The 11,522-nt window shown below is 39.5% G+C and overlaps 1 protein-coding gene across 1 annotated transcript, besides 1 other annotated feature; it reads right to left on the bottom strand.

Moving 5' to 3' along the window:
• Positions 6,193 to 7,392: an enhancer, noted in NCBI's record as "P300/CBP strongly-dependent group 1 enhancer chr10:54078024-54079223 (GRCh37/hg19 assembly coordinates)". NCBI's record gives its function as "activates an origin of replication core promoter dependent on BRD2, BRD4, P300/CBP, MED14 and CDK7 cofactors, with strong dependence on P300/CBP, by STARR-seq in HCT116 cells {active_cell/tissue: HCT116}" and the evidence as "EXISTENCE:reporter gene assay evidence [ECO:0000049][PMID:35650434]".
• Positions 7,999 to 11,375, bottom strand: DKK1 (dickkopf Wnt signaling pathway inhibitor 1). The gene is made up of 4 exons (NM_012242.4): positions 10,979 to 11,375; positions 10,571 to 10,733; positions 9,221 to 9,361; positions 7,999 to 9,102 (listed from the first exon to the last, which is right to left on the bottom strand). Exons 1-4 carry the CDS (start codon positions 11,219 to 11,221, stop codon positions 8,849 to 8,851), a joined length of 801 nt encoding a protein of 266 aa, NP_036374.1. The 5' UTR covers positions 11,222 to 11,375; the 3' UTR covers positions 7,999 to 8,848.
• Positions 11,376 to 11,522: the final 147 nt, after the last annotated feature.

Raw genomic sequence — 11,522 nt, 5'->3', positions numbered from 1 at the left:
CTTTTATTCAAGAACTGCTTGGTGCAGGTCTTCTCTATACTAGCTGCAGTTCTCCCAGTCAGTATTTTTTGAATGGAAAGAAATTTGGTCAGTAAGTGAAAGATGTTTTTCACGCTTTTTCTTTTTTTGTTGTTGTTGAGATGGAGTCTCACTCTGTTGCCCAGGCTGGAGTGCAGTTGCATGATCTCCGCTCACTGCAACCTCTGCCTCCCCAGTTCAAGCGATTCTCCTGCCTCAGCCTCCTGAGTAGCTGGGATTACAGGCACTTGCCAACACGCCCAGCTAATTTTTGAATTTTTAGTAGATACAGGGTTTCGCCATGTTGGCCAGGCTGGTCTTGAACTGCTGACCTCAGGTGATCTACCTGCCTCAGCTTCCTGAAGTGATGGGATTACAGGCTAGAGCCACCGTGACCGACCAGGATGTTTTTCTTTCCTGCAGTTTTGGGAAATTCAAAGAAGAGTAATTCTGCAATAACAGTAATTTTTAAAATTAGAATGAGACACATCAAGCTATCTGCTCAATGTATAGGAAAGTTTATGAGAAAAACTCAAGTTCTGTCCTACCTTTACATTTAATAATAGTAATGTCTTCCCTGATTTTTATAGAAAAAGTGGAAAATAATGAAAAAAGACTGGGTGTGGTGGCTCACGCCTATAATCTCTGCACTTTGGGAGGCCGAGGCAGGCAGATCACTTGAGGTCAAGAGTTTGAGACCAGCCTGGCCAATATGGTGAAATCCTGTCTCTACTAAAAATACAAAACTAAGCCGGGTATGGTGGTGCTCACCTATAGTCCCAGCTACTCAGGAGGCTAAGGCAAGAGAATCGCTTAAAGCAGGGAGGTGGAGGTTGCAGTGAGCCGAGATCATGCCACTGCACTCCAGCCTGAGTGACAGAGCAAGACTCTGTCTCAGCAAAAAAAAAAAAAAAAAAAAGGAAAAGAGATTAGTTCCCACAATCCTACTTCCCAGATAAGCCATCTAGGGTTAGATTAGATATGAGATGTTACTCTAAGTAATTTATAACATACCATGCATGTTCTGAAATATGCTTTTTTCAAATATTTGTACATAGAGAATTCCAAATGTTTCTCCATATTAATTTAATTATTACAGAATACTTTAATAACATAACTGCATTATCTAAACTGTTCTATACTTTAAACATGTAATTTGTTTTCAATTTTTGCTATTAAAATACCATTGTAGATGGATTTTTATACATCCATGTTTCTGTTCTTAAAATAAATTTCCAGAAATGACTGCATCAAAGAGTTTTCACATTTTAAGCACAGCCAAATTGCTTTTCAGAAAGGTATGCTAATTGCAGTACCTACTAGCAGTATATGAATGAGTGCCTGGATTTTTGCACTTATGCCCAGACTAGTCACAGGCATACCTCTGAGATATTGTAGGTTTAGTTCTAGACCACCACAATAAAGTGAGTATCATAATAAAGCAAGTCACACGATGTTTTTGGTTTTCTAGGGCATCTAAAAGTTACATTGACACTATACTGTAGCCTATTAAATGCACAATAGCATTATATGTTAAAAAAAAAAAGTACTTACCTTAGTTAAAAAATACTTTATTGCTTAAAAATGCTAATGATTACCTGAGCCTTCCGCAAGTTGTAATCTTTTTGCTAGTGGAAGGTCTTGCCTCATTGTTGTTGGCTATTGACTGATCAGGGTAGTTGTTGCTCAGAATTAGGTTAGCTGTACCCATTTCTGAAAACAGGACAACAATGAAGTTTTCAACAGTGACTGACCGTTCCCTTCACAAAAGTTTTTTCTGTAGTGTACAATGTTGTTTGATAGCATTTTACTCACAGTAGAACTCCGTTTAAAATTGGAGTCCATTCTCTCAAACTCTGACTTTGTTTATCAACTGAATTTATGTAATGTTCTAAATCTTTCATTGTCATTTCAACAATATTCACAGCATCTTCTCCAGGGGCACATTCTGTCTCAAAGGATGACTTTCTTTGCTCATCTATGAGCACCAACTCCTCACCCATTCAACTTTGATCATAAGATTGCAATAATTCAGTCACTTCTTCAGGCTCCACTTCTAATTTTGGTTCTCTTGCTACTTCTACCACATCTGCAGTAATTTCCTCCACTGAAGTCTTGAATGAACCCCTCGAAGCCATTTATGAAGGTTGGAATCAACTTTTTCCAAATTCCTGTTAATGTTGATATTTTGACCTCCTCCCATGAATCATGAATGTTCTTAATGGCATCTATGGTGGCAAATTCTTTCCATATAAATTTACTTTGCCCAAATACATCAGAGCAATAACTAACTATGGTAACTATAGTCTTATAAAATGTATTTCCAAAATAATAAGACTTGAAAGTCAAAATTTATACCTTAATTCATGGGCTGTAGAATGGATGTTGTGTTAACAAGCATGAAAACATTAACCTCCTTGTACATCCTTATTAGAGCTCTTGGGTGACTAGATGCATAGTCAATGAGCAGTCACATTTTCAAAGAATTTTTTTCTGAATAGTAACCCTCAACAGTGAGCTTAAAATATTCAGTAACCATTCTGTGAACAGATGTGCTGTCATCCAGGCTTTGCCTTGTTTTTCCACCCATTTATATTGCACAGGCAGAGCAGATTTAGTATAATTCTTAAGGGCCCTAGGATTTTCATAATGGTAAATTATCATTGGCTTTCATTGAAAGTCGTCAGCTCCTTTAGCCCCTAACAAGAGAATTAGACTGTCCTCTGAAGCTTTGAAACCAAGAACTGACTTCTCTTCTCTACATATAAAAGTCATAGATGGCATCTTCTTCCAACAGAAGGCTGTTGCATGTACACTGAAAATCTGTTGTTTAGTGTACCCACCTTAATCAATGATCTTAGCGGCTCTTCTGGATAACTTGCTGCTTCGCCTTGCACTTTTGTGTTATGGAGAGAGCTTCTTTCCCTGAATGTCAGGAACCAACCTCTGCTAGCATCCAACTTTTCTTCTCCAGCTTCCTCACTTCTCTCAGCCTTCACAGAATTGAAGGGAGCTAGAGCCTTGCTCAGGATTGGTCTTTGGCTTAAGGGAATGTAGTGACTGGTTGAATCTTCTATTCAGATCACTCAAACTTTCTCCATATCAGCAACAAGGGTGTTGTACTTCCTTATCTCTTGTGTGCTCACTAGAGTAGCACTTTTAATTTCCTTCAAGTAGTTTTCTTTTGTATTCACAATTTGGCTCTTTGGCCCAGGAGGCTTAGCTTCCGGCCTATTTCAGCTTCCACATGCCTTCCTCATTACAGTGAGAGATGTGCACCTCTTTCTTTCACTTAAACACTTAAGAGGCCATTGTAGGGTTATTAATTGGTTTAATTTTAATATTGTTGTGTCCCAGGGACTCCGAAGGCACGGGGAGGGGGAGAGGGAGAGAGATGGGAAAATGGCTGGTCAGTGGAACAGTCAGAACACATGCATTTGTCAGTTAAGTTTGCTGTCTTACATGGGCGCAACTCATAGTATCCCAAAACAATTACAATTGTAACCTTAAAGTTGATTGTAGATCACCATAATAGATATAATAATAATGAAAAGGTTTCCTTTTTTTTTTTTGAGACGGAGTCTGGCTCTGTCGCCCAGGCTGGAGTGCAGTGGCGCAATCTCAGCTCACTGCAAGCTCCGCCTCCCGGGTTCACGCCGTTCTCCTGCCTCAGCCTCCCGAGTAGCTGGGACTACAGGCGCCCGCCACTACGCCCGGTTAATTTTTTGTATTTTTAGTAGAGACGGGGTTTCACCATGTTAGCCAGGATGGTCTCGATCTCCTGACCTCGTGATCCGCCCGCCTCGGCCTCCCAAAGTGCTGGGATTACAGGCGTGAGCCACCGCGCCCGGCCGAAAAAGTTTCTAAAATGTGACATGGAAACATGAAATGATCACATGCTGTTGGAAAAAATGACACGAATAGACTTGCACAATGCGAAGCTGATACAAACCTTCAATTTATAAAAAAAAAATCAAGTGAAGCACAATATAACAAGATATGCCTCTATCATTTTCTGCTTTTAATTTGAACTTCGGAGTATCACAGATATGTGAAAAGTTTCCATACAGGATGCTTTTTAAAAGTATTTTTTTTGCTCATCAGGAGAAAGATTGTGAAATATTATAAAACGTAATATGAATTTATCAAGATAAGCCATGTTTGATGCCTTCTGCCAATTTTACTTTTTACTATAGAATTTGTTCAGCAGTTTTAAACAGCAGGGTGTTCGTTATCATTGCCCTTGCAAGGTAATTTTTCATATGCTAATATTTAGGGTCTATGTCACATTATTAGGATTTATAAATTTTTGGCAAAAAATCCACCGTGTTTGTGAAAGGTATTATTTACATTATTTGTAATGTATTATTTGTATTATTTACTTTAATTGAAATCTAATGGAACAACTATTGCTGGAAACAAAATAATATCCTTATTTTGTAATTTTTTGGTAAAAAATCACTGTAGTTTGTGACATCTGTAATTTTTTCAGACAAAATATGTCTCAAATATATCCTCTTCAATTGCGTTGCCACCTAACACAGTAACTGTTGCTGAAAATAAAAAATTGTAGTAGTCTATTTTTTCTGGGTAAGAAATTATATAACCAAAAATCAGAAAAATCCTCTTCCTAGCTACCCCCAAATCTAGCCACAGTGGGATATTACTTATTTTCTCAATATATTATGTATTTTTATTTTTATAACTCCATAATTTTGCTCACACTTCTTCCTCTGTCTCCAATAGGAAGGAAACTCTTTCTCTTCTTTTCTACCTTGTAAATGCCTTCTCATCCTTCAAAACTAATTTGTGATAGACCTGAGATGTGGGATTTGTCCCTACACATTCCTCTTGTAGAACTACTATAGTTCCTATTACAGGCAGAATGGATATAGACAGCTGTGTTTATATATTACGAACTGAGTAGCTATGCTAGACAATTGAACCAGAGATGGACCCCTGATTAAAGATAAGCTAATCAGAACCCTCACCCAAGATTTTGGAGTAGGAGTCTCTGAAAGGCTAAGCAATTTACTGAGCAGAACTGCACTGGATGATTACATATACTGGGGACAGAATTTTGCTTGTCAGCATGGCAAGTGATAGACATTGCAAATTACAATGGAACAGAAATCACAAGTGAGTCTGCAGAATGCTTTCCGTCCTGATTTTTATGAGCGGTATCAACCCATGTCTCCTTTTTGCTTTTTCTAGTTTAAGTGCTTTTTCTTCCTTGAAATAAAAGCGCAAGAGAAGGTGATGGTTCAAATACTACCTCTTCTCTGAAGCTTTTTCTGAGCAATTACAGGCTGATTTAATTAATTTTAATCTGTTGTCAGGTATTAATGTATGTAAGATAATACGACATAATATAATATATACATTTCATTGTCCAGTAGTAAAGACCTAAAATTGAGTGCCTACATTGAGCTAGACATAATAGTATTCTGATGCATGCGTTAGTCTCACATCTACATTACTGAGGGAGCCATGACTCAATCCCAAATCTATCCAATTCTAGAGACTGTTTCTAACCACTATACTAAATCAACTTCCAGCACTAATGTTCATCATCTCCCTTGCTAAAGACTAAGTTCTTTGAAGTTAAAGGCCAATATTATATGCATCTTTTCAAATGCTAGCATAGTGCCCACTGGATGTGGCAGACTAAATAAAGGTATATGGAATTAAAATTTCTTAGCATTACCTAGATTGTAGTCCTAGATTTTTGATGTGATTAACTATTTCTAAGCTGTCAACCCTTACACTCAATATATAAAGGACCACATACGTACACACACTTTTGTACAAACATTGAATGCTTAAATTACGAGATTATTTTCTTCTTCTTTAAGGTAAAGATAAGGTATTTCTTTTATATTTTAATATTGTCCTCAGAATAGTATTTTAGAAGGTATGAAAATTGCAATCATAGAACTCAGTGGAAGACACTTTATAAGCCTAATGGTAGTATTGTCTATTTTTCTCTAAGACCGTAAAAGAAAGTTGGTAGTATGATAAAGTTTGATAATGTCACCAATTTAAAAGTGAAGGGCCAGGCTCATTCTTATCAGTAGATTAGACAAAGTTTGAAATATTCAACTCTTCTAGCAAAACAAGAAAAGGGAGTGGTGAGAAAAGGCTTGTGATTTTATTTAATAATAATTTCAAAATCAAAGTAATTAGAACAAGTCTAGCTTTAACTGAATGCCAGAGATTACTGTTCACTGTGAAATTGTTAGGATAAGCCTGTATTTCCCTTTTTCTCCTTTGATACAGTTTAGCAAGAGCTTAATCATCACTTGGTCGGTGATAAGCAAGCATCTTGACATTTTGCTCATACCAGAATTTATGAGTAGCTACAGAAAGCATGCGTTTTGTACTTTGCTTCAAATATGAGTCATCCTATAACTATACTAGTACATGAACATAAAAATTCTATACTCATGACACATTATTTGTTAGATCAAAAAATCTGGAAACAACTTAAACGTCACTGGTTAAAACAATTATAGTATTGCCATTCTGACATACTACAAACTTAATGTAACCTTTAAAAAGAATGAGTCACCTCTCTATGTATTATATAAAATGATCTGCAAGACGCATAGAGTAAAAAAAGCAAGGTGCAGGACAGCGTGTAGAGTATACTAACATTCGATAAAATATCTTGTGAAATTTTCCCAGATGCATGTATTTTCCGTTAAAATACATTGTTTAAAAGTCACACAGCAACAACAACAGACATTTTAAACAATCATTACCCAAATTGTTCTAGATTCCTTAAATAATCCTCTTTTGAATTTGTATTTTATCTGATTTCCATCGTCTAGCCTCTATTACTAGCTAATAAAAACCTACAATTTTCTTGGTATTTTCCACCTTTATAAATATGAAGAATTCTTTTTAACAGAAATCCCTTCCTAATTTCTCAGCTGGATAGGAAGAAGAGGCATCCCTCTGGTTGGTTTTGTATTCTTCCACACATCTCTCATCTGGAGATGAGAAGCAAGAAAGGCTGTCACTAGGGTCAATGTACTGAGGTCCGTTCCTGTAGAAAGGAAGGGATCCAATAACCAAAGCCCTTTAAAAGTTTGCTTCTTTCCCCACTTAAGCAGAAGGCTCTTCTTTCTTCTTTTTGGAGAAAAAGTTTCCTGTTTCCTTTCCTTTATTGTGCTTTATTGGACATGGCAGGCCTTAGAATTGGCCTTTCTGGCACTTCAGAAAACAAGCGCATGTAGAAAAAGAAAGTTTCTCCTGGGTGAGGAAGCTGAGACTTCCAGACAAAAGGAATGTAACAGCAGACATCCTGCCAGTTCCTCTTTCAGTGAAGAACCAACCAAAGCTTGTGTCCCACTGGTTGAGACCCTTGAAATTGAACCACTTCCAGAAACACAAAAACAACAAACGGTCTAGTACATCTGCGTTATTTAAGGAAATATTTGCACGATTGATCAGTCACTACTATCCTTTGCAGGCCTGAAATGCAGCATTTTGTGGTTTGGGTGCAGACTTTAGAATACTACAGAAAAAGTATAAATTGGGAAGTTTGCTTTCCCTTTTCCTCAGTATAAACAATATGAAATCTGGCAAGTACAAATGCAAAGAAAATTTAGATTTTATTCCTGTGGGTTTTCTTTAAAATACTGTATCCGTATCCTCATTCCAATCAATAGATTTCAGGTTAAACAAAACTTGAAATATGAAACTCACCTAGCAAGAGAAAAAAAGAGTGGAATGAGGAAGGATTTGTGATTTTTAATTAATAATTATTTTAAAACCAAAATAATTAGAACAAGTCTGCTTTGCATGCAGTAGTACTCAAGATACTGCAAATTATTTTGTTTGGTACAAAATCTGCATGTATTTGTTAACTGTATTTATGGGCACACATCCTGTTCCTGCCAATCACCAAGTACTTTGGAGTATTATTTTTGTGGATGATTTTCTTCCTTGTCCGAAAAATATTGACCATTTAGGTAGGTATTATTAATTTATTGGAAACTATTTTTGAAAGTAGTAATGTAAGATTCACTCTCATTCTGCCATGATCATTTGAGTTTATCAATGCAGAACACGTCTTTCTTTAAAGTTATTCTAGAGCTGATCAATATTGTCTTATATTTAGACACTGTCTTTTCTCTGATCATCTTTAAACATATCACACTTCCGTTCTTGTAGAACACACACATACGTACACACACACAAACCTCTAAGATCACAATCCCAAAATGTATGTCTACTTATAACATTTCATGATATTAAATGTTAAATTTTATTTCAAAAACTATCACAGCCTAAAGGGAAATATAATTTAAGCATTAAGATAGTACATTTCAGAAAATAAGCTAGTATTTTCATGTTACATTTTAGGTACCTATCATTTGTCATTCCAAGAGATCCTTGCGTTCTAGACTCTAGAATTAAATGGGGTAAAGGGTTATGCTTTTAAGAACTATAAGCTGAAATGATTTACTTCAGTTCAATATAGAATATTTGTCAGTCAAGATAACAATCAATGTGTACAAAAATTTACATAACAAGAGGAAAAATAGGCAGTGCAGCACCTTTAGAAAAATAATTAAAAGTTTCATTGCATTTACAGGTAAGTGCCACACTGAGAATTTACAATACAGTAATTTACTGCAATCACAGGGGAGTTCCATAAAGAAACAAAGCTCTTACACTCCAGGTTTTTGGAAGGTGTTATTGGAATGCTTAACTGAAACCACAGAACTTGTATATCCTTAGGATTGAGTTGATGAAGGTCATAAAAGGTTTTCATAGCATCTATTATATAAAAGGAGTTCACTGCATTTGGATAGCTGGTTTAGTGTCTCTGACAAGTGTGAAGCCTAGAAGAATTACTGGCTTGATGGTGATCTTTCTGTATCCGGCAAGACAGACCTTCTCCACAGTAACAACGCTGGAATATTTCTAGTCCATGAGAGCCTTTTCTCCTATGCTTGGTACACACTTGACCTTCTTTCAGGACAGGTTTACAGATCTTGGACCAGAAGTGTCTAGCACAACACAATCCTGAGGCACAGTCTGATGACCGGAGACAAACAGAACCTTCTTGTCCTACGAAGGAGAAGACAGTAGGAAAAAAGTACATAGTTACTGTTAAACCTGCATCGTTTCACTAAAATAATTCAAAAGACACTTCTGATGTGCTAAGAATGAGTCTTAACATCCTTACCTTTGGTGTGATACATTTTTGAAGACAAGGTGGTTCTTCTGGAATACCCATCCAAGGTGCTATGATCATTACCAAAGCTTTCAGTGATGGTTTCCTCAATTTCTCCTCGGAAATGATTTTGATCAGAAGACACACATATTCCTAAGGAAGCAGGAAATAGTGATTAACTTCAGGGTTGTAATGCATTACTGCTAACAGCTGTGACAGTGGCAGTCTGTTATGCCAGCATCAACTTGAGATACTTCATTGCAGTGACATCATTTTAAACACAAGCCAAACTTCCTCTTTACTGTTAATGCAAAACTCTCCAGATGGACAGAAGCACCAATGTGTATACTGTATACAGTCAGTCATAGGTAATATCCCCAGTATAGCCATTTAAAATACTTTCCCACCAACTGTGGTAGGGGCAAGTGAGATTTCTGCCCATTTTAATATTACCTTTGGGGTAAGAAAAAGAAACTCAGTCACTTTAAAAATGTTCTTAAAAATAACTTCTCTGCCCCTGGTGCTATATGGGTCCTACCAGACTAAGTTAAGCAAATGCAATTCCAGCTGCCTGGAACATTGCAATCTCACCGGCCAGTTACTTTACTGTGTAATTTCTATATTACAGAGATTTACTTAGTTCATCCTGGAGTACTGCTGGGTCCTAAGGAGGGTCGTCGCCCTGTTAGCTTATTTCTGGAGACCTCTTTAGCTGTCTAAATCCACCTTTTGAAAAATTAAAAGTTAGTGGATCTGTGGTTGGGGGGAGGAGTACTTATATTAAGGCAGCAGAGGGTAGAGGGAGGGGGAAGGATGGAGAAGTCAAGTTGTGAGGGTACCAAGATCTCTCTTAAAAATGGCCAATGCAGATAAATCAGTCCTCTGGCTGACAACAGTTTCAGCAAAAATCAGAAGGCGAGGCCAGTCTGGCAAAACTGTGAGAATCACAATAAGAAAAATGAAAAGGACAGCTGAACGCCAAAGCTGGTTTCTTTGATATCTGTATGATCCCATCGTCCTCCTCATCATCCCCCTTCTCAATTGACCTCAAGGTTCTCCCCAGACAAATTTTTATGGAAGAGTCCACTACGAGGTGAACCGTTGTATTGAATCATTGAGGGACACGGAGGAAGATAAGGACCTCAGAGACCTCCCAACTTCTCTCTTCTTCCCGATTAAACACTTGCAATGAAGATACTTCAGCGGAATCCTGCATGCTGAACACCCATTTGCAGGTGGCGCCGCAGTGTTCTCAGGGCGGAGATTTCTCCCCCCACCCCCCCCAACCCCCCGCCCCCGCCCAATTCATAGACGCTCAAAGGCTGGACAGTTTTAGTGTGAAAGGGAGCTTTCAGGACTCACCATTTTTGCAGTAATTCCCGGGGCAGCACATAGCGTGACGCATGCAGCGTTTTCGGCGCTTCCTGCAGGCGAGACAGATTTGCACGCCTGCGTCCCCTCCGCGGGTGGGACTAGCGCAGTACTCATCAGTGCCGCACTCCTCGTCCTCTGCGCACGGGTACGGCTGTGGGAAGGGTTCGGGGAGAGGGTGAGGCACCCAGACGTCCAGGTACCCGCCCTCTTGGACCCGGGCGCTGATCACAGTCCTTATCTGTCCACCTCTCCAAAACCTGTTACTGCCCACTGCTCCCAAATGCAGGGTTACCAAATGCTCCCTGAACCGCACACATTCAGCACGTTCTACTCCCTCGTCTCCAGATAGGACCCTTTCAAGGTCAGAGCATCCTCTGAGTGCCCGACCCCTCTCACCTGGTAGTTGTCAATGGTCTGGTACTTATTCCCGCCCGGGTACAGGATTCCCGGCGCGGCGCTGACTGCAGAGCCTGGGTGCCCCGCAGCGCCGCCCAGCGGTGGGGGCAGGTTCTTGATAGCGTTGGAATTGAGAACCGAGTTCAAGGTGGCGCTCACTCCCAGCAGAGGGTGGCCGCCGAGAGCCGCCGCTACCATCGCGACAAAGACCCGGGTAGCTCCCGCTGCGCCCAGAGCCATCATCTCAGAAGGACTCAAGAGGGAGAAAGAAAGAGAAAATGACCGTCACTTTGCAAGCCTGGGTCCCCACGAAACCGTGCCGGTTCGGCTGCAGAGTCAGGGTCCGGGAGCCCCCTGCGGTCCCAGAGTCCTGACTGCAGGGAGCACAGAGCTCTGCGCCGCCACCGCCACCGCGGCTGCCTTTATACCGCGGGCCCGGAGCATTCCGGCCCCTTGGGAGGGAGACAACAAAGCCGGGATGGGATTTCAAAGCGCTGGGAGGGGCTGGGAGGGGGTGTGTTTGTGTACATGAAGGGGGGCCTTT

Source organism: Homo sapiens, chromosome 10, assembly GCF_000001405.40.
Source record: "Homo sapiens chromosome 10, GRCh38.p14 Primary Assembly".
Lineage (NCBI taxonomy): Eukaryota > Metazoa > Chordata > Mammalia > Primates > Hominidae > Homo > Homo sapiens.
Note: the sequence above shows the minus strand (reverse complement) of the source record. Positions and strands in the feature narration are given on the sequence as shown.